This window comes from Homo sapiens, chromosome 11 (genome assembly GCF_000001405.40).
Source record: "Homo sapiens chromosome 11, GRCh38.p14 Primary Assembly".
Taxonomy (NCBI): domain Eukaryota; kingdom Metazoa; phylum Chordata; class Mammalia; order Primates; family Hominidae; genus Homo; species Homo sapiens.
In genome coordinates this window covers 125,659,531-125,683,295 of record NC_000011.10, presented here as the reverse complement: position 1 = coordinate 125,683,295, position 23,765 = coordinate 125,659,531, and the positions used below count along the sequence as shown (strand labels likewise).

The window sequence follows — 23,765 nt, the reverse complement described above, 5'->3', positions numbered from 1 at the left end:
GAGACAGAGTTTCTTTCTTGTTGCCCAGGCTGGAATGCAATGGCACAGTCTCAGCTCACTGAAACCTCCACCTCCCAGGTTCAAGCGATTCTCCTGCCTTCGCCTCCCAAGTAGCTGGAATTGCAGGTGCCCGCCACCATGCCCGACTAATTTTTTTGTATTTTTAGTAGAGATGGGGTTTCACCATGTTGGCCAGGCTGGTCTTGAACTCCTGACCTCAGGTGATCTGCTCGCCTCAGCCTTCCAAAGTGCTAGGATCACAGGCACAAGCCACTGTGTCCAGTCTTATTTTATCTTCTTTCCCCGTTCATTGCTACAATCCCTCATTTAGGTTATTTTGAAGCAAATTTACATAGGGAATTTTTAAAAACAATTGTTTTCAGCTGAAAGCATCAGCTCTCCAGAGCCCACTGTCTGTCTTTCTATGTTCTAAGTTAGGGTGGAATAGATAGCACCTCTTCCCTTCTACTAATTTCCACTGCTTCTATCAACAAAAGTCAGACCCAAGGCTCATAGCTGTTCTTCCAAACTCATCCTGGAGGAAAAGAATTATTGATAGCATGCTCTTTCATACCTTTCTCTACTGTAAAGGAACCTGCCTGAGGCTCAGAAATCCTAGCTTTATCCTCTAACTCAAGTCAAGTAACTTTTGATCCCTGGTGATCTTGCTGTCTTCAACTAACCCAGAACCTTAATCCAGATTCTCTTCTATAGATTCTCTTACATGATTCTCTATAAATTCTCCTCTATGAGGCAGAGAGAGGCCCCAAAAGGTAACTCATTCCTTCCTTCCTTCAGGAAAAGCTTAGGCATGCTGCTAGGTACTGGGACTACAACAATAGTCAAGACAGGGTCTCTGCATTCAAGCTTAGAGTCCAACGGGGAGTACAAACATGAAACAAATAATTATAACAGTGATAAAGTGTTAGTCCAAACTGCACCATTTCGTAACCCCCACCGACCCCCGCCATTTTGCAGACCTTGGCTAAAGTGAAGCATTCCACGGGGGTTTGGGCCCTTAGAAACAGCCTGTCCAACTGCCTCCCTGACTTTATCACACTCTGCTGGGAAAAAGTCCAAGGAACATCAGCATCACATTCTGCGGGAACAAGGGCCAAAATGCCTCATTATGGGAACATCTTCCCAGGCAGCAAGCCATACTGCCCAGACCCGTCCTGCTCATACCTACAAGTACCCCAACCTGTACGAAGCAGTGGGCACTGGCATTAAGCTAGTCCCCCACCTCTGTAGGTCTTATGCTAGACAGAAAGCCTGGATTTGATGTAGAGCCGCCACTCTCTCTTTCTTTAACCCTCACCTTCCTTTCAAAATGTAACAATAAGTACATCTATTCTAGATTTAGCATTCAGTGGTATATAAAACAAAGTTGTTCAAGAGAGCTGAGCAGAGAAGCAGCGAGAAATGGAAGCTACCAGATCTTTGCCACTCAATCCTCCATAAGTTCTAGTTTTATATCAGGTGGATGCCTCACTGCATCCATCTTCTCAGCTTGGCCACCCCCTTGCTACCAAGTTGCAGCTCAAAACGCAGCTTTCTACTGTCTCTTGATCTCTTTACTCTGCCCATATCTGTGTAAACTCTCCTCAGTTACCCATTTGAGTTTGCCACCTGTTTCCTGCTAAAACCATGTTGATAAAGGTCTGTATGAAAAGACTATTTACAGAAGTGGGCAAGGTTAAGGAAACAAACAAACAAAAAAAGAGATAAGTTTGGGCATCCAGATTTTAGTAACAGCAGGAAACCATTATCATCCCTAGGCCTAAGAGGGCAGGGGGAGAAAAACATATTACCATAGCATGGATGAGAGCTGGAGCCATGGAAGAGAGGACACCCAACAGAAGCTCTGTCATGTAGACTCAGCCAGTGTCAACTGTGGCAGGAAGGGAATAGGAAGAACAAATATTCCAGTCTCGCTCTCTTTCTCCCCATTCCTCCCTTCCCTCTTCCTCTCTCTCTTTCTCTCTTCTCCCCTCCAATCCTGTATAAACCCAATCTGAAGCCAAATCCAGCCAGCATTCAGGTGATAAAGTCAACAGAGGTCAACCTTCCAGGGTACAGATCAGAGCCAAGAAAGGCTGATTTAGAAAGCCAAACAGAAAACAATCAACAATTACATCTCATTGTCAAAAACACTTTTAAAAGACAGTAGATATCTTTTAAACTTTATTACAAAAAATATGTGCTTTTTGGTAATACTTTTTTTTTTTTTTTAAAGATAGGGCAGATAGCCCCAACACACTACCCTGCACACAGAAAATAATCATTGGTCTTCACTAGTGAAATAAGCAGTGGGTTGCTAAGGGCCAACTTGCCTGAACAGGCTACACAAGAACCTCAGAGCCCAACCCATTGTGAAGAAACATGGGTTACTTCTGAGGTTCTAGAATTCCCAGAAGCTCTGCTTCAGCACTGGAAGCTTTTGCTCGCAGTTTGCTTCATAGCTCTGTGAAGAAGCTGTGGCCCACACTGGGGTCCCCTCTTTTCCTAAATCCAGATGAACAGGTTTCTCTTGCTAATGAGTCTTTATCTGCTTGGATCTGCCAGAGGTGAGTGTTTGATCTAGGCTTCAGGTAAATACAAAAGGGGTCTCCCTTAAGACATTTCAGGCCTTGAAGAAGGAAGACCAGTCTCTCAGTCACCCAAACCAATCTGAGTCAGAATCAAGAGCAGCTAAACAAGTCCAACTCGGAGAGCTCCTGAACCAGTTGATTTCTCTAGTCATAGCTTTACAGTCAGAGGGTCCCACTGGCTTGGCACAGTCTGGTTTCTACTTATTTTAGCCACTCAACATTTATACCTGATGCTGCATGAGATGAAAAAGTAGGCTTAGGGGTTCTGTAGAAGCCCAATGAAGGTTTGTCCCACCAATTAAATGTGAGGGATCCTTGTGTGGTTAATGTGCCAAGGAAAGATGGGAGATGGGAAGATGTAATGTGTTCAGAAAACAACCTCAGAACACGACAGAGCTATAGGCCAGAGACTTCATAAGCCTCTTCTTCATGGCTGTGTTATATCAATCAGGTTTTCTGTATCATCTCTTCTTTTGGGATCCCCCATTCATGGTGTGCTGTGTTCCCTCCTGCCTCCTACAGCAGAAAGAGGCCATGAGCTCTGAGCTTTCAGTGAAAAAACAATGTATTTTCTATAATGTCGACTGTCAGAGGTTTTGCTTTTTGCTTTGTTAGACCTTCAAAAGTTGACTCAAAAATGTAGATACACAGCCACCAGGTGATAGTATGTGCCAGTCACATGGTGACACGAGTCATAAACTATAAGATCAAGAAATTAGCATGCTTTTTATGTCTCCTTTCTATATCAGAAACATCTCTTTATCAAAACTTGTGTTAATTATTGAAAAACCAGTCAAGTAGATAGTATTTATGTAATAAGTTTAAAAAATAAAAACCTCCTAAAAGCTTTACTAAATCTTACCTTTCCTTTATCAACATATTCTCACCCTAGTCATTTAGAAAGTCACTGATTGTAAGTACTGCACTGTGCCAAGAAAATATATCTATCGCAAGATTCTTAGAGTTTTGAGTACTCTGGGGTTTTAGACTACCTCAGCCTCAAAGATCCAATAATTCCTCTCAGCTTTTGGCTAGAATTAAATAACTTGGTTGTTGTAGTCTACTTGTCTTCCTCTAGGTGGCTCAGTTTAATCAAAGAGTAATAATCAAATTATCTGTTTTGTGCTTCTGTTCACTTAAAATATACTTAAGGAATATTTGTCTGACAGTCAATGATGAGATGGATTGGCCAGACACAGTGGCTCATGCCTGTAATCCCAGCATTTTGGGAGGCTGAGGCGGGCGGATCACTTGAGGTCAGGAGTTCAAGACCAGCCTGGCCAACATGGCGAGACCCTGTCTCTACTAAAAATACAAAAATTAGCCAGGTATGGTGGCATGCACCTGTAATCCCAGCTACTCGGGAGGCAGAGGCAGGAGGATCACTTGAACCCGGGAGGCGGAGGTTGCAGTGAGCCAAGATTGTGCCACTGTACTCCAGCCTGGGCAACAGAGCGAGACTCTATCTTTGAAACAAAAAAAAAAAAAGAAAGAGACGGATTAAAGGTAGAAGAGACTGGCCAGAAAAAAATAACCATGTAAGAGTTTTGTAATTCCCAGTGTAAGGTGGGAAGAAAAGAAAAATAAAATTGAGTACTAGGCAATGGTGCACTTCACAATTTATCTTATTAAGTACTCAGGACAACTCCATGAAGTGAATGTAAATGGTATGTCACAAGGATACAATTCATATATGTGTGTGTGTCTATATATATATATATATATAATATGCCTAGACTTTTTTTTTTTTACCTTAATAGCTTATAGCAACTTTGCTCTCTGAATCCCCAACCCACATGGATTGGGGATTGAGTGTGAGAAAATACTTGACATTACCAAATACAGGCGGCTTAATCCCTTCTGATAATTTTTGTGGGCTCATACTTGTCATCCCTGTCCAAAGGTTAACTCTTCCGCCCTTAATTTAGGTTACAAATACTCAGGTATTGAAAACTACTTGCTTTCTCTCTCCCTCTTCTATCTCTACTCTTCTTGTCTTTCACCCATAGAGGAATGGGAGGGTTGGTGGCGAACTTCTGATTCTATCAGGGATGGTATCCTGACTTCCTGATGCTGACTTTGTCAGGGAGGCACATTCATTTTCCTTCAGGGGTTTTTTGTACATGGATGAGTGGATTCTCCTAAGTAGTTCTTAATATTGGGGAACTTAAGATTCTTCCCTTCAATCCCAGAGGTGGCCTCTGTTTGTTTCACTAAACACTTCTGTCCTCCATGGCCTTTTGGGATACTTAGTTGATTTTTCCCAACATCTGCAGTCTTCAGGTGCCCAATCTAGGCCCATAGGAAACCTAGGAGTCTCATAACATTAGCCTAACTCCATAGGAAGATAGTCTTTATCCCATTCTGTCAGCTTCACCAACTCTCTTCTGTTCCTTCTCCATCCCAGGAACATCAAGTCAGCCTAATGAGCTTTCTGGCTCCATAGATCATCAAACTTCAGTTCAGCAACTTCCAGGTGAGTTCTTTTCACTTGAAAACCCTTCTGATGCTGAGGCTTTATATGAGACTTCTTCAGGCCTGAACACTTTAAGTGAGCATGGTTCCAGTGAGCATGGTTCAAGCAAGCACACTGTGGCCGAGCACACTTCTGGAGAACATGCTGAGAGTGAGCATGCTTCAGGTGAGCCCGCTGCGACTGAACATGCTGAAGGTGAGCATACTGTAGGTGAGCAGCCTTCAGGAGAACAGCCTTCAGGTGAACACCTCTCCGGAGAACAGCCTTTGAGTGAGCTTGAGTCAGGTGAACAGCCTTCAGATGAACAGCCTTCAGGTGAACATGGCTCCGGTGAACAGCCTTCTGGTGAGCAGGCCTCGGGTGAACAGCCTTCAGGTGAGCACGCTTCAGGGGAACAGGCTTCAGGTGCACCAATTTCAAGCACATCTACAGGTGAGCCATGTTTGGATGGGTGCCAGTCATTGACTTCAGGTGGGAAATGGGGAACACATCAAGAAAACCCAATTTTAGGGAAGGAGTGCAGAAGAAAGAATTGTTAACACTTCACAAACAGCTCTCTCAAAGTCTCTCTAGTTCTCGTCACAATCATACCAAGAGGCATGTGGGAGCCTGAAAGCTAAACAATATGGAGGGCCCTCTATAAGAAAAATAAAACAAATACAAAATGCCAGTACCCCTCCAACTTCACTCTCCATAAGAAATTATGAATACACAGCCCTTCCGACTTCCCTAGAAGGGGATCATGAAAGTGCAGAGTTCTGAAGACTAACCTTCATTAGCTTTATGCTAACCCTGCCTCTTAAACCATGTTAGAATGCTATAACTTTACAAATTCTGTAAAGAGATGTGTGCAGCTGGTGGTTCTTTTTGTTTGAACATGGAATGTAAAGCTATTTTCTTTTAGATCCAGAAATGAGTTCCTAGGACAACTGCTAGTCTGTGGCTCTTAATTAAAAGGGTTTGTTCTGGGAAAGAAAACAAGACCCAAAGTTTGATGCCTCAAGTTATTACCAGACATAGTTCACATTTCACTCTATTGTTTAAATATCATTATTCTAAATTTTCAGATGAAAGAAGTGAGGCAAATGTAATATGTCCAATGTCACATGGCTAGAAAGTGGCAAACTTTGGATTCAAACTTAGGACTGTGCAAAGCCCATAATCTTTCCACTTCTTTAGGCTTCCCAAACTGGGGGATTAGCAGTAGAGACAGTAAAAGAGGCAACATGGAAGTATTTCAAAGATAGTGCTGTTAGTGACCTTCAATAAGGTCAATTTGAAAATGGAGAAGGACACACTCTTCACAGGGTTTGCAATGTTAGAGCATTCTAACATAGCTTATTAATCGGTCAAATATGACTCCAAGTGTTTGTGCCTTGTGGGTGAGAGTATGATGGGGAGTACAAAAGGGAGATGAAAATCACACATACATTTTGCTCCTATGCTGTCACATGACAGAAGGGTATCTAATGATAAATGCCCAGGAAGTCAATGCAGATATGGACTGGAGTAAAAATATTAGAGAGAGAAATTTGGGATTCATCAGCAATGAGGGTCAGAGATGAAGAAGAATGAAGGAATTTCCTCTGGCACAGGTCTATCAGACACAGGGCCCAGATCCCCAAAAAGAACTAAGAAATAAATGTGTAGTATCCATGCTACCTATTGCCCATTACCCCTCCCAGATGTGAATCAAGGCTACACATCTGGTCCACAAGGAAATGTCATCAGGCTTATCTTAAATTTTCAGGCACAATATTAAATTGCTACACATGTGCTTATATGAATGATCAAGGAAAATGTCTTCGTGGAGAGGGAACCTGCATCACTCAGAATTCCCAGCAGTGCATGTTAAAGAAGATCTTTGAAGGTATATGGGGACTTCATGAGGCAATTTCTGCCTGAGAACACATCAACTTACTTCTGGTAGGGGGCAGTTGGAATGACAGGGGCCCAGGAAAGAATCAAGGAACTTGAAGATTCAGAACTTTATTTTTTCAAGGACTAAGAACAGAATCCCTTGCCAGGCGAGGTGGCTCACACCTAAAATCCCAGCACTTTGGGAGGCCAAGGCAGGTGGATCACTTGAGGTCAGGAGTTCCAGATCAGCCTGGCCAACATGAAAAAACCCCATCTCTACTAAAAATACAAAACCTAGCCAGGTGTGGTGGTGGGCACCTGTAATCCCAGCTACTTGGAAGGCTGAGGCAGGAGAATCGCTTGAACCCAGGAGACGGAGGTTGCAGTAAGCTGAGATCATGCCATTGTACTCCAGCCTGGGAGACAAGAGTGAAACTCCATCTAAAAAAAATAAAGAAAGAAAGAAAATAAAGAATAGAATTCTTTATTCTACCACCAGGTACTGATGAAGAGATAGATGCCCTTCCCATTAGGCCTAAGAGAAGGCAGAGAGACTAGCTGTCTCTTCCCATTAAAGCAATGTGTTGATTGCCCCATGAGCCATTGGGACATTGACTGTAAGCTATAGCTATATATTCCTGGGACCTAGCACAATGTCAAGCATATGGTAGGCATTTAGTAAATATTGAATGGATAAACTAATAAACAACTGTCTACAAGTCTGTGTTCACAGGTTACCAGACCAGTCTGAGTATATTCCCACACCTCTTTACCCTTACTCTCAGTTCCTCATCCCTAAAATAAGGGATACTGGTTATTTCCATCCCAGGAACCACACTGCCTGACTCCTCTTGTAGTTTTTCTTCTTCCTCACTAGAAATGTCATTTTCCTATTTCTACATGCAGACATTCATCCACCATCACTCGGAAAACATTAATGACACATACCATGAACTACAGAAAGATGACTCAAATATAAACTGTGTACAAAGAGATTATGTTATAATGTAAGAAATAAGAAACAATATCACAAGGGAGAAAATTGTGTCTTAAGAAAGGCACATATAAAGTGCAGAGAGTTCAGGGAAAGGAAAGATTAGAGGTGCAGAGAAGTATGGGGAGAAGGTGGTATTCAGAAAATGCTTTGAGGGAACATTTACGATTTGGGCCAGGAGTTCTCAATCTTGTTTGTACATTACAATCACCTGAGCAACTTTAAAAAATCCTAATGTTCAGGTTGCACCAAAGCAATTAAACCAGGATCTCTGGGAATAGAATCCAGGCATCAGTATTTTTTTAAAGGCTCCTAGACAATTCCGATGTGCAGTCAAGATTAAAGAGATACTGATTTAGTCATACAGCAATGGTTGATGGGTATTCCAGAGACAGGGAATGAAAGCAAAAGTCAGAAAAGTGCAGGATGTAAATAGGAAAAAGAGCAAAGAGTTTTTTGAGGATGGTGAGCAGAGACATAGAAGATAAACTTGGAAAGGTTGACTGGAGCCAGCTGATACAAGAGCTTCAGTGTCAGTTAAAAAGAGTTTGAATTTAATAGTTCTCCTTTATTTATTGCTTCCAGACAGTATGATATGCATTTTAAAATACCCTTTATCATTTAATCCTCACAAAGTAGGAGCTTGCCTAAAGACCTGTTACTAGGAAAAGGCAGAGCCAGTAGCCCATCCAGGTTGGTCAAAGCGCTTCTTCAGGAAGATTACCTTAGAAGCAAGTTACAGTGGACACAAGAGAACCTGTTAAAGGGCTATTGTAATATTTCAGTAAAAGGTAATAGGAGTGACTGATGGAAAGACTTATTAACATCTCTCCCATGTCTTTTCACTCATTCTGCATCCCTGTTTACACTCTACACTTACTCCAGCTACGCAAGTCACCACTTCCTGAACAGTTTCATGTTTTCATGTTTTCTCCAGTTATGCTTCAGCCTGAAATTATCCTCTTTCCTTTCTAATCGAAATGCTAACAATTCTTCATAGCTTAGTTCAGTCTCACTTCCTTCCTAAGAATTTCCTTGATACTATGCCCCCCTTAATCAAAATACCAAAATTAATCATTTATTTGCCAGCATAGCATATAACATGGTTTTTCCATTGCATGTAATAATTGGCTATTTTTATCTCTCTCAGCTCTTGACATCAAATGATGTTATTAATCTTTGCATTCTCCAGAGTCTAGCATAGTTCCTTACTAGGTCCGTTAATTTTTTTTTTGAGATGGAGTCTTGCTGTCACCCAGGCTGAGTGCAGTGGCGCGATCTCAGCTCACTGCAACCTCTGCCCCCCAGCGATTCTCCTGCCTCACCCTCCTGAGTAGCTGGGATCACAAGCGCCTGCCTGGCTAATTTCTGTATTTTTAGCAGGGACAGTGTTTCACCATTTTGGCCAGGCTGGTCTTGAACTCCTGGCCTCAAGTGATCCACCTGCCTCGGCCTCCCAAAGTGCTAGGATTACAGGCATGAGCCACTGTGCCCGGCCAAATGTTTGATAAATGGAAACCGAGTGACAGAAACAAACTAGATTGCAAGTAGAACTGACAGACCTTCACAACAAATTGGATGGAAAAAGCAAAGGGAAGAATCAGAGATGACAGAGGTTTTGAAGGTGTGGTACAGGAAGTATATAAAGGAAACTCACAAAAACAAGCAGGTTTGGGGAGGAAAGTAATGAGTTTCATTTTGGGCATAGTAAGTTTTAGATGCCCTTAGCATATTGGCATGGAGGTGATCATCGGTTAGTTGGTAATGTGACAGTTCAACTTGGGAGAGCAGAAATAATTGGATCCAGAGGAGTAGATGAGCAGTGGGGAAGACCTTGTCAGAAGCAGAGAGTATCAAGAAAGGGTGTAGTTTCAGGCCAGGTGCAGTGGCTCACGCCTGTAATCCCAGCGCTTTGGGAGGCTGAGGTGGGCGGATCACAAGGTCAGGAGATCGAGACCAGCCTGACCAACATGGTGAAACCCCGTCTCTAATAAAATTACAAAAATTAGCCAGGTGTGGTGGTGCGCCTGTAATCCCAGCTACTCAGGAGGCTGAGGGAGGACAATCGCTTGAACCTGGGAGGTGGAGGCTGCGGTGAGCTGAGGTTGCACCACTGCACTCCAGCCTGGGCAACAGAGCGAGATTGTCTCAAAAAAAAAAAAGAAAAGAAAAGAAAGGGTGTAGTCCACAGTATGATGTGCAAGCAAAGAGGTTAAAAAAGTCCTGAGAAAAGGATGCAGAATTTGATGAGTAGATCTCTATGACTTTTGAGAGAGGTTTCGGCATAGTAGGGTCATGATTCAAACTGTGAGGGGCCAAGGTGAGGAGGATAGGCAGACTCTGGGAAGGCTGTAAGGAAAGGAAGGATAGTGCTAGGGGAGTAGCACGATTAAGAGAAAGTATTTTAAATTTGGGGTAACCTGAGCATCCTTGTAAACCAAAAAAGGAGTCCATAGAAACGGACTGACAATATAAGAAAGGAGTGGGCAACTGATGGGGGGCAAGTTCCCAGAGGAAGCAAATAGAAGAGAAAGAGAAGGGATAATGGACAAGTGGAGGTCTTGACCATCCTGCATGGAGACACTGAGCATCACAGATAAAGGCTAAGGTTGGAGGACGAAGCTTTCTGCTCACTAGTCTGTCTCTGCTCCTTTCAGGTGGAAAACTCCAATTCATGGTTCAAGGGTGTGAGAACATGTGCCCATCTATGAACCTCTTCTCCCATGGAACGAGGATGCAAATTATATGCTGTCGAAATCAATCTTTCTGCAATAAGATCTAGAAGCCTGGGCCCTTGCTTGTTTTGACTCAGGCAGTAAAAAGCCTCCATCACTCTATTTGGCTCATTTTATATTTAGTTCCTTCCCCAGTCAACAACTGACCACATCTGCCTCTGCCTGAGCATTAGGATGCTCAAACATCCTATCTTTCTTCTTCTATTCATGCTTTTATCCATTCTTCTCTGTCCTGTCTTCCCTGCTCCAACTCTTTCTCTCAATATTCCTGATTTTTTTTTCAATAAATTTCACATGGTTAAAGCACACAGGCTCAAGACAGACCTTTTTTTCCCCCATTAATCTAGTTGCAGGGTCAACATGAGCTTCCTTCCACACCGACACTAAACTGGGTGCATTGTTTAAGCATTCCATATTTATGAAAGTAAAGGAGTCTCCAAGGGCAGAGACAACAAAGAGGAATGCAAAGTAGGTATTAATCTTTTACAGGGTGTAAACGTGCAGGTACTTCTGACACCCCCCCTTTTCCATCCCTACACACTCTTCCATTTATTATGGCATACAAAAACTCAACTCTTCTTTGGCTCTTGAGAGTTTCTAGTCTTCAGTAGTCCACTACTAACATAATGATAATAGTATAATGATTCCTTATTTGCTATATATTGCAGCAGTTCATAATGCTTAAATCATTTTTTTCACACACAATGTTACTGAATCATCTATACAGGATAGGAGGGCAAATGGAAATACTAAACGGTCCCTCATATAAGTGTTATGTTCTTCAAGATGTTTTCACATACACGGTCTCATCTGATCCTCAGGAAAGATCCCAGAGTGGTAGACAGGAAAGATGGCATCATCCTTTTTTGCAAATAAGGAAATGTGACACAGAGATGTTTTCTTTATTCATACTCCATGTTGTTCCAAATTTACCAAGGTTACAGAGCTACAGAGAGCTATAGGCAGATTCCACAACCAAATCTGCAAGATCTAAATCTGAGCTGTTTCCACCACAATGAAAGTAGCCAGAATGGTTCTAAGAACTCTTAGAACAGTACAACAAGAAGTCAATTTTACTGTATATAAAATTTAAAATTTCAACATATATACACATCATGACCCCTTCCCCAAAATATATTGCTAACAAGCTCTTCACTGGCAATAATGGTAAGCTGGAAGAAAATGGAACATCTTCAAACTTCTGAAGGAAAATTATTTTGAACTTATACTCATACCCCTAGATAAAATAGTATACAAAAATAAAATCCCCAAAGCAGGAACTAAAATCCTAAATGAATTTTCAACTTGGCCAGAAGGGAAATGAAAGCCTGCCAACATTGTCAACACTAATAACTTTTTTTTTTGAAGGGAGAAGATAAATAATAGTCTACTAGGTATAGGTGTTGAGGGAAAAATGTAAGTTCAAATATGTTGTTAAAATTTAAGGAGCCAGGCATGATGGCTCACACTTGTAATCCCAGTGCTTTGGGAAGCTGAGGCAGGAAAATAATTTGAGACCAGCTTGGGCAACACAGCAAGACCCCGTCTCTACAAAAAGTTAAAAAATTAACTGGGTATGATGGCTCATGTCAATAGGCCTACCTACTTGGGAGGCTGAGGTGGGATAATCACTTGAGCCCAGGAGTTCAAAGACAGCCTGGGCAACATAGTGAGACTCATCTTAAAAAAAAAATTTAAGGGTAGGAAAATTCTGGCTTCCATTTATAGTGGAATAATTTGAAGTAACCCTCTCACAGGTAACAATTATATGTTCTGGACAAAACATAAAAAAAAGATTTGAAAGCTCCTCCAAAGGAACTGAAGAGAAGTCACCACTAAAAAGAGAGATTTGTGAGCTTATGCTGGAGGGTACTTCTCAATCCATGCATCACAGGCTGGCAAAAAGCCACAGGCTCACTGGTTTGAAGTTTCAGAGAACATAGGTTGGGACTAGCAGAGCAGCTGCAAAATTAGGGGGTACTCCTGAAAATAAGACAGCCACAGAGAAGCCCCTAAATTTGAGGATAACCTCTGACCAAATTATTGTCTGGTCACTGACTCCAGGAGGCTCAAAAACAATAACATCTGAAAGCTGAAAAAATAGGGCAGTGATTTTAGCTTCTGTCCACATTGAAGGAGACAGACCTAATAGAACAAAAGTCAATACTCTTCAGAGGAACAGAAGAGTACAGAATCTCTACAATTCCTCATTTACTATGTCTACTATGTAATAAAAAATTATTACACATAGAAAAAGCAGGGAATTGTGACCCATAGCCAAGAAAAAAAAGCAGTCTATAGACCTTGACCCCCATATGAATCACAGATACTGGAACAAAGTGAACAAAGGCAATAAACAGCTATTAAAGATACATTCAAGAATGTAAAGGAAAATAGTGCCATACGAATAAACAGACAATGAATCTTACACAGATACTGAAACTATAAAAATGAACCAATGGAAATTATTGTATTTACTGTACTAAGAAGTGCAATAATTGAGAAAAATCCCTACATGGTTTAATAGCATATTGGAGACCATGTTTAGTCACCAAATTTGAAGACAGATCAATAGTAATTATCAAATCGGAAGAACACAGGAAAAGAATTAAAATAAAGCTTCAGTGAACTGTGGAACATAACAAATAATATGTAAGATATTGCAGTTGAGAATAGGAAAGAGATGAGACAGAAAAAGACATTTAAATAAATAATAACTAAATTTTGCCAAATTGGGTGAAAAACATAAACTTATAAAATCTAGGAAGCTCAATAAACTCAAGGGAGGATAAATACAAAGAAATATGCCTAGGCATGGTCGGGCACAGTGGCTCATGCCTGTAATCCCAGCACTTTGGGAGGCCGAGGCGGGTGGATCACGAGGTCAGCAGTTCAAGACTAGCCTGGCCAACATGGTGAAATCCCGTCTCTACTAAAAAAATACAAAAATTAGCCAGGCGTGGTGGTGGGCGCCTGTAATCCCAGCTATTTGGAAGGCTGAGGCAGGAGAATCACTTAAACCCGGGAGGCGGAGGTTGCAGTGAGCCGAGATCGCACCACTGTACTCCAGCCTGGGCGACAGAGCGAGACTTCATCACAAAAAAAAAAAAAAAAAAAGGAAAAAAGAAAAGAAAAAGAAATATACCTAGGCACATAATAAGCAAATTACTGAAATTCAAAGAGAAAAATTCAAAACTGGTCTAAAGAAAAGATACATTACATATAGTGGAACACTGATACAAATGTTGACTGATTTCTCATCAGAAACAATGGAGAGCAGAAAACAAGAGGAGATACTTCGAAGTAATGAAGGGAAAATACTGTCAGCAGAATGTTATCTCCAAGATAATAACCCTTCAAAAGCGAAGGTAACACATTTCCATATAAACCAAAGCTAAGAGAATTCACAACCAGTAGATGCACACAAGCTAAAAGAACTTCAGGCTAAAGAGAAACAATACCACGTGGAAACCCTGACCTACAGGGAGAAATGAACAGTTCCAGATATAGTAAAGATGTGGGTAAATTTAAGACATACATACTATTTTTCTGAATTTTAAAAGCCATGCCTGCACAGACTTTTTTTTAATGTAAGTAGATATATATGACAATAATAGCACAAAGGATGAGGAGATAAGTGGACCTATACTTTTGAAAGGTTCTTATTTTTAAGTGAAGTAGTACAATATTAACTTTAAACTGTGATAAGATATGATAATCCTTGGAAAAAAGAATTTAAAAAATACAGAAAGGTACAGTTAAAAAGCTAATAAATAAAATGAAGGCTGGGGACGGTGGCTTATACCTGTAATCTCAGAACTTTAGGAGGCTGACATGGGAGGATTGCTTAAGCCCTGAAGTTCAAGACCAGCCTGGGCAACACAGCAAGACCCCCTCTCTAAAAACTATTTTTTAAAAAAGTATCTGGTCATGGTGACATGCGCCTATAGTCCCAGTTACCCAGAGACTAAGGCAGGAGAATTCCTTGAGCCCAGGGATTTGAGGCTGCAGTGAGCTATGATTGTGCTACTGCACTATACCCTGGACAACAGACAAGGTCTGTTTTTGAGACAACAGATCTTGTCTCAAAAATAAATAAATAATTAATTAAAAATGAGAAATTAAAATGAAATTTTAAAAAACCCCCAACAATTAGGTGGGTCAAATAAAAATGTTAAACAAAAAAAATGGCAAAAATCCAAATATCAACAATTGAGTATACATCATCACTACAGTGGTCTTGTGAAAATGCATAACTTGAACCCAATAATGTGAGAACATGAGATAAAACAAAATTTAGGGAAATTATACAAAATAGCTGGTCTGTATTTTTCTAAAGTATCAAGGTCAAGAAATATAAACATCGAGGAACTATTCCAAATGAAAGGAGACTAAGGGGACATGAAAACCATGCATGATCTGGGTTTGAACACAGGCAAGGGGAAAAACTTTTTTTTACAAAAGACATTGTTAGGACTGATAAAATTTGAATGCGGACCTTGAACTAGACAATAGTGTTATATCAATGTTAAATACCCTCATTTCTGTTAACTAAACCAGGTTGTCTGTGAGAAGGTCTTTATTCTAAGGAAATACATACTGAATTAATTAGAGGAAAAATACTAGCAACTGAGACTTAATGATGGGATACATTATTTAGACTAATCCTTACAATGAACATAGTAACTAAAACTTACTGGAAACTCTTTTAAAAATCAGCCAGGTGTGGTGGCTCATGCCTGTAATCCCAGCACTTTTTGGGAGGCTGATGTGGGTGGATCATTTGAGGTCAGGAGATCGAGACCAGCCTGGCCAACATGGTGAAACCCCATCTCTACCAAAAATACAAAAATTAGCCGGGCGTGGTGGCATGCACCTGTAATTCCAGCTACTTGGGAGGCTGAGACACAAGAATTGCTTGAACCCAGGAGGCAGAGGTTGCAGTGAACTGAGATCGTGCCACTGCCCTCCAGCCTGGGTGACAGAGCAAGACTCTGTCTCAAAAACAAAAAACTTAGTACTGGAAGTCCTAGCCAGAGCAATGAGGCAAGAAAAAGAAATGAAAGAGATTCAAATAGGAAAAGTCAAACTCTCTCTCTTTACTGATGATATGAGTCCATACATGAAAAACCCTAAAGAATCTGACACAAGGCTCCTGGAATTGACAAAATCAATGTACGACAATCACTAGCATTTTTATAAACCAATAGTGTTCCAGCTGAGAACCAATTCAAGAGCACAATCTCATTTACAATAGAGAGGAATCATTTACAAGGAATAATATGCAGCCATGAAAAAGAATGAAATAATGACCTTTGCAGCAACATGGATAGAGCAGGAGGCCTTTATACTAAGTGACCTAATGCGAGAAGAGAAAACCAAATACAACATGTTCTCATTTATAAGTGGAAGCTAAACATGGAGTATACATGAATGTAAAGATGAGAACAATAGACAGTGGGGATCAATAGCAGGGAGAGAGAGAGATGGGGGAATGGACTGAAGAACCATCTGTTGGGTACTATGCTTACTGCCTTGGTAACAGGATCACTGGGACCCCAAGCCTCAGCATCGTGAAATTATCCCATGTAATAAACCGGCATGTGTACCCTTTAATCTATAACAAAGGTAAATTTTTCTTTAAAAAAAAAAACACCGAAAAACACAAAACAACAACAACAACAACAAAAGTTGTCTGAATGGATTGAAAAAAAAAATCAAGATTCAACTATATCCTGCCCACAAGAAACTCACTTTACGAAGATACATATAAACTGAAAGTGAAGGGTTGGAAAAATATATGCCAAGTAAACAGAAAGCAAAAAAGACCAGGATTACCTGTATTTATATCAAATAGACTTTAAGCAAAAACTGTAAAAGGAAATAAAGAACATCCTTATAGATTGTTAAAGAAGTCAATATAGCGAGAGAAATAAAAATAGTAAATATACATGTACCCAGCACCATAGCACCTAAATATATAAAGCAAATATTACTAGATCTAAAGGAAGAGACCGACTGCAATACAGTAATATTAGGGGTCTTCAACAACCCACTTTGGCAGTGAACGGATCATCCAGATCATCAAAGAAACATCAGAGGTAAACTATACTTTAGACCAAACAGATCTAACAGACATTTATAGAACATTTCATCCAACTACTGCAGAATACATGTTCTTGTCATCACATATGGAACACTTTTCAAGTCAGACCATATGAGAGGCCACAAAACAAGTCTCAAGAAATTCAAAAAAGTCAAAATCATATCAAGTATATTGCCCAACCACACTGGAATAAAACTAGAAATCAATAATAAGAGGAACTTTGGAAGTTGTACAAATACATGAAAATTAAACAATGTGCTTCTGAAAGACCAATAAGTAAAAAGAAAAAAAAAATTAGAAGTAAAATTAAAAATTTCTTAAAACAAATGAAAATGGAAACATGACATACATCAAAATCTATGGGATCCAGCAAAAATAGTGCTAAAAAGGAAATCTGTAGCAATAAATGCTTACATAAAAAAACAGAAAAAAAATAAACAACCTAAAAATGCACCTCAAGGAACTAAAACAAAGAACCAAATTTTTTTAAAAAAATCAAATCCAAAGTTAATAGAAGCAAAGAAATAAAGATCAATGTAGAAATAAATAAATTTAGACAAAAGTGCATAAGATAAATGAAACAAAAAGTTGTTTTTTGGAAAAGATCAACAAGATTCAAGAAATCTTTACCTAGACTACAAAAAAAAAAAAAAAAAAAAAAAAAGGGGAATGAAGACCCAAATAAATAAAATCAGAGATGAAAAAGGAAAAATGACAACTGGTACCACAGAAACACAAAAGATCATTAGAGACTATCATGAACACTATATGCCAAAAAATTGGAAAAGCTAGAAGACATGGATAAATTCCTGGATACAAACAACCTATCAAGATTGAACCATAAAGAAATAGAAAACCTGAACATATCAATAATGAGTAGCAAGATCAAAGCAGTAATAAAAAGTCTTCCATCAAAGAAAAGCTCAGGACCTGATGATTCACTGTTGAATTCTATCAAACGTTTAAAGAACAACTAATATCAATTCTACCCAAACTACTCAAAAAAGTGAAGAGGAGGGAATCCTATCAAACTGATTTTACCAGGCCAGCATTACCATAATACCAAAATCAGGCAAAGATGTAACATAAAAAGAAAATTCCAGACCAATATCCCTGATAAATATAGATGCAAAAACCGTCAACAAAATACTACAAAACAGAATCCAAAAAACACATTAAAAAGATCTTCCCCATGATCAGGTAGAATTCATCCTAGGGATGTAAGGGTAGTTCAACATATGCAAATCAATAAACATGACATATCAACATCAATAGAATCAAGGACAGAAACCAAAAAAAAAAAAAAAACAAAGCTGGAGACATCATACCACCTGACTTCAAATTATACTACAAAGCTATAGTAACCAAAACAGACCGATACTGGAATACAGATACACACGTAGACCAATGAAACAGAATAGAGAACCCAGAAATAAATCTACATTTTTATAGCCAACTCATTTTCAACAAAGATGCCAAGAACCTACACTGGGGACAGTCTCTTCAATAAATGATTCTAGAAAAACTGGATATCCATAGGCAAAAGAATGAAACTAGAGCCGTATCTTTCACCATACACACACACAAAAATCAACTGAAAATGAATTAAAGTTCTAAATGTAGGACCTGCAACTATAAAACTACTAGAAGAAAACATTTGGAAAACACTAAGAGGACACACGGGTCTGGGCAAAGGTTTTTCTGTGGAAGACATCACAAGTACAGGAAACAAAAGCAAAAACAGACATAGTATTACATCAAGTTAAAACATTTCTGCACAGCAAAAAAAAATCGGAATGAAGAGACAACCTACAGAATGGGAGAAAATATTTGCAAAGTATCCATCTGACAAGGGATTAATAACCAGAATTCATATGAAACTCAGACAGCTCAATAGCAAATAAAACAAAAGAAATCTGATTTTAAAATGGGCAAAAGAACTGAACAGACATTTCTCAAAAGACATACAAATGGCCAATAGGTATATGAAAAAATGTTCGGCCAGGCATGGTGGCTCACACCTGTAATCCCAGTACTTGGGGAGGCTGAGATGGGTGGATCACTTGAGGTCAGGAGTTCGAGACCAGCCTGGTCAACGTGGTAAAACCCTGTCTCTACTAAAAATACAAAAAATTAGCCAGGCGTAGTGGCGGGTGCCTGTAATCCCAGCTACTTGGGAGGCTGAGGTAGGAGAATTGCTTGAACCCAGGAGGTGGAGGTTGCAGTGAGCTGAGATCGCACCATTGTACTCTAGCCTGGGCGACAGAGTGAGACTCTGTCTCCAAAAAAAAAAAAAAAAAATAGTTCAACATGGCTAATCAGCAGGGAAATGCATATTACCACATTGAGATACCACATTGAGATATCTCTCCTGTTAAAATGGCTATTATCCTGGAGGCATCATACTACCTCACTTCAAACTATACTGCAAGGCTACAGTAACCAAAACAGCATAGCACTAAGTACAAAAGCAGACACATAGACTTGTGGAACAGAATAGAGAGCACAGAAGTAATGCTGCACACCTACAACCATCTGATCTTCGACCAAGTTGACAAAAACAAGCAAGGGGAAAAGCACTCAAATGGAAAGTGGATTCAAACAAGCAATGGAAAAAGGACTCAATAAATGATGCTGTGATAACTGACTACCCATATGCAGAAGACTGAAACTGGACTCCTTTCCTGTACCACAAACAAAAATAAAGTCAAGATGGATTAAAGACTTAAATGTAAAACTAAAACTATAAAAACCCTGGAAGATAACCCAGGAAACACCATTTTGACATAGGCCCTGGAAAAGATTTTATGATGAAGACATCAAAAGCAACTGCAACAAAAACAAAAATTAACAAATGATATCTAATTAAACTAAAGAGCTTCTGCATGGCAAAAGAAACTATCAACAGAGTAAAGAGACAATCTATGGAAAGGAAGAAAATATTTGCAAACCACATAATTCAACGAAGGTCTAATATCCAGAATCTACAAGGAACTTAAAAGGAAAAATACATAAAAATAAACAAATAAAAATAAAAACTGCTCTCTAATATTAAATTTTAAAAAGCAATTCAGTGGAGGAAGGATAGCCTTTTCAACAAATGGTGGAACAACTTAAGATTCAGAGGCAAAAAAATGAAATTCAACCTAAGGTTCACACCTATACGAAAATTAATTTGAAATGCTTCAGTCTTAAACTGTCAAAATTTAAGAAAAAACACTGGAAAAAATCTTCAGAATCTAGGCTTATTCTAGGATAGACAACAGAAACATGATCCATATAAGAAAAAATTGGTAAACTGGATTTCATTGAAATTAAAAACTTCTGCCCTATAAAGCACTCTGTTAACAGGATGAAAAGATAAGCAACAGAATGGGAGACATATTTGTTTTTTTTTTTTCACAAATGACATATTTGACAAAGGACTAGTATCTCGACTACATAAGTAGCTTTAAAAACTCAATGTAAACAAATCTAATTGGAACACGAACAAAAGACATGAAGAGATATTTCACCAAAGATACATAGATGACAAATGAGTACATGAAAAGATGTTCAACATCATTACCCACTAGGGAAATGCAAATTCAACTCACAATGAGATATTACTACATACCTATCAGAATGGCTAAAACAAAAAATAGTGACAACATTGATGAGGATGTGAAGAAACTGCATTACTCATATATTGGTGGTGAGAATATAAAATGGTACAGCCATTCTGGAAATGAGTGGCAGTTTTCTCGAAAACTAAACATATGACTACCATATAATTGAGTAGTGCCACTCCAGTACATTTATCCCAGAGAAATAAAGACTATATTCACACAAAAGCCTGTAGATATTTATAGCAGCTTTAGTCACAATAGCAAAAGAGTAGATATAACAAAGATGTCCTTCAACAGGTGAATGGTTAAACAATACCGTGGATACCACATAGCAATAAAAAGGAATGAACTTGATACAGGCTAACAACCTGGATGAATCTCCAGAGAATTATGTTGAGTGAAAAAAGCCAGTTCCAAAAGGTACAATACTATGTGATTTTATTTATGTAACCGCTGTAGTCTGAATGCTCGTATTCCCCTCCAGACAAATTAATATACTGAAACCCAATTCCCAATGTGATAGTATTGGGAAATGGGGACTTTGGGAAGTGATTAGGTTATGGGGCAGGACCTTCCTGAATGGAATTAGTGCCCTTAAAAAAGAGGCCCTAAAGAGCTGCTTTGCCCCTTCCACTATGTGGGGACACAGTAAAAAGGTGACATCTATGGGGAAGAGGCCCTCACCAGACACTGAATCTGCTGGCACCTTGAACTCGGACTTCCCAGACTCCAGAATTGTTAGAAATAGATGTTTGTTGTTTATAAGCCACACAGTTTACAGTGTTTTTGTTCTAGAAGCCTAAACAGGCTAAGATACCATTCTTATAATGACAAAATTACAGGAACAGAGAAAAGATTAATAGTTGCCAGAAGTGGGAGGAAAGTGAATGTTGCTATAAAAGGGTATCATGAGGAATTCTGGTGCTGATGGAAATGTCCTATCTTGACCTTATCAATGCCAATATCCTCGTTATATTATTTTATTGGATACCAGTGGGGAAAACTGAGTGAAAGGTGCACAGGATGTCTCAGTATTAACTCTTACAACTACATGCAAATCTACTATCTCTTCAAAGATATGTATGTACATATATTCACATAGAAACACATATATATTATCAAAATAGACAATTGTATATAAATTATAAAAGTGTAAAGATCTTTGATTGTCAGAAAGAGGACAAGAGACTGACTTCAGACTATAACAAGTATGCATATTGTAATAGCTAGAGTAACCCTCAAAAAAAAAAAGCATATAGATTCCAAATTAGGAGAGGAGGATAAATACAGTGATTTTTAAAAAATACTAAGCAAGGTTGGGCGCGGTGGCTCACGCCTGTAATGTCAGTACTTTAGGAGGCCAAGGCGGGCAGATAACTTGAGGCCAAGAGTTTGAGACCAGCCTGGACAACACGATGAAACCCTGTCTCTACTAAAAATACAAAAATTAGCCAGACATGATGGCACACGCCTATAATCCCAGCTACTGGGGAGGCTGAGGCACAAGAATCACTTGCACCCAGGAGGCAGAGGTGGCAGTGAGCTGAGATGGTACCACTGCACTCTAGCCTGGGTGACAGAGTGAGACCCTGTCTCAAAAATAAAATACTAAGCAAGAAAAAAAATTTTTTAAGGCAAAAAAAAAATGGTAGAAAAGAATGCAAATCCAGTGGAACCAAAGTAAGATGATAGAAATAAATCCAAATATATCAGTAATTACAGTGAAAGCAAATGGAATCAATGGTCCATTGAAAAACAAATACTGTCAGATTGGATTTTTAAGATAATTAAAAGAGGGACATTTTATATGATTTAGAAAAGTAAAAGTAAAAAGATAAAAAGTTATGCCAGGCCAGGCGCAGTGGCTCACGCTTGTAATCCCAGCACTTGGGGAGGACAAGGTGGGCTGATCACCTGAGGTCAGGAGTTTGAGACCAGCCTGACCAACATGGAGAAACCCCATCTCTACTAAAAATACAAAAATTAGCCAGGCGTAGTGGCGCATGCCTGTAATCCCAGCTACTCGGGAGGCTGAGGCAGGAGAATCGCTTGAACCCAGGAGGCGGAGGTTGCAGTGAGCCAAGATCGCGCCATTTCACTCCAGCCTGGGCAACAAGAGTGAAACTCCGTCTCAAAAAAGTTATGCCATGCAAACTTTTTCTTTTTTTTTTTTGTTAATAAATCCTTTATGAAAATCATATAAATATTAGCCAAAAGAAAGCAAGTGGGGCTAGATTAATATCAGATAAAGAATATTTAAGGCAAAAGTATTATATCTATAAAGAAGTTACTTCTAAATAAATAAATGGTTTAATTCACTAAGAAGATATGACAAGTATGTATCAGTATATAACCTAAGGAAATAGTCCCAAAATGTATAAAGCAAAATTAACAGAACCTAGCCAGGCATGGTGGCATATACCTGTAGTCCCAGCTAGTTGGGAGACTGAGGCAGGAAGATCGCTTGAGCCTAGGAGCTTGAGTGTAGCCTAGGCAATATAATGAGACCCTGTCTCTTAAAAAAAGAAAAAAATGAGAACCACAAGTAAAAATACACAAATCCAAATCATAGTAAATTTTAACATGCTTCTCTAGTAATTCACTGTATAAGCAGTAAAGATATGTAAGATCTGAATATGATTAACTCAGTTAATTACATGGAGATATACAGAAGCCTGTACCCAACAATTGTAAAAACTATCACTATCAAAAAATTCTACTTCTAGGTACATACCCAAGAAAACTGAAAATGTGTGGACACACACCAAGCTGTAAAAGAATGTGCACAGCAGCCTTATTCATAATAACCAAGAAGTAAAAAGAACTAAAATGTCCACATAATGAACAGAATGTACAATACACACACACACGCACACGAAAATTATTCAGCCATAAGGAGTCCTGATACATGCTACAACATGGAGAATCTTGAAACCATTAAGTGAAAGAAGCCACACATGTATTATCCAATTCTATTTATATGAAATGTCTGGAATAAGCAAATCCACAGAGACAAAATGTAGGTTAGTATTTTCCAGAGACTGGAGGAAGAAAAAGTGGGGAGTGACTGCTAATGAGCAGGGAGGTTCTTTCTGAAAGGATGAAATTGTTTTAGAATTTGAGAGTGGTGATGGTTGCATAACTTTATGAACATACTAAAAACCACAGAAGTGCACTTTAAAGGGAGTACAACACTTTAAAAAGTGAATTTTAAGCTATGTGAATATCTCAATAAAAACATTTTTTAAATAAAAACAATTCCCAAAGGCCTGGAAATTCAGAAACATAATTCAAAATAATTTATGGATCAAAAAATAAATCATATAAAGATCTGAGAACTACAATGTAAAAATATAGAAAAAAGTCATAACAATATTAGAAAAAAATTTGAGCTG

The 23,765-nt window shown here is 39.1% G+C and overlaps 2 protein-coding genes across 8 annotated transcripts in view; one reads left to right on the top strand and one right to left on the bottom strand.

Annotated features, from left to right (window-relative positions):
* CHEK1 (checkpoint kinase 1) overlaps positions 2,172-23,765 on the bottom strand; it is a 55,989-nt gene continuing 34,395 nt past the window's right edge. For 3 of the 4 annotated variants that reach the window (NM_001114121.2, NM_001330427.2, XM_047426311.1), the window contains one exon: positions 7,041-7,368. The gene's annotated coding sequence lies outside the window, so the exon portion shown is untranslated. Of the gene's footprint in view, positions 5,533-7,040; positions 7,369-23,765 lie in introns of those variants that run through there. The other variant, XR_007062447.1, reaches the window with a different exon arrangement.
* ACRV1 (acrosomal vesicle protein 1) lies at positions 2,449-11,774 on the top strand. Of its 4 annotated transcripts, none has more exons than NM_020108.5 (5): positions 2,449-2,567; positions 4,999-5,067; positions 5,278-5,499; positions 6,818-6,937; positions 10,579-11,774. In NM_020108.5, the coding sequence occupies exons 1-5, from the start codon at positions 2,516-2,518 to the stop codon at positions 10,701-10,703; spliced, it is 588 nt and encodes a 195-aa protein (NP_064493.1). In that variant the 5' UTR covers positions 2,449-2,515; the 3' UTR covers positions 10,704-11,774. The 4 variants fall into 4 exon arrangements, with proteins under 4 accessions (NP_064493.1, NP_064492.1, NP_064454.1 ...); NM_020107.5 differs by having other exon boundaries at positions 5,233-5,499; NM_020069.5 differs by having other exon boundaries at positions 4,999-5,442.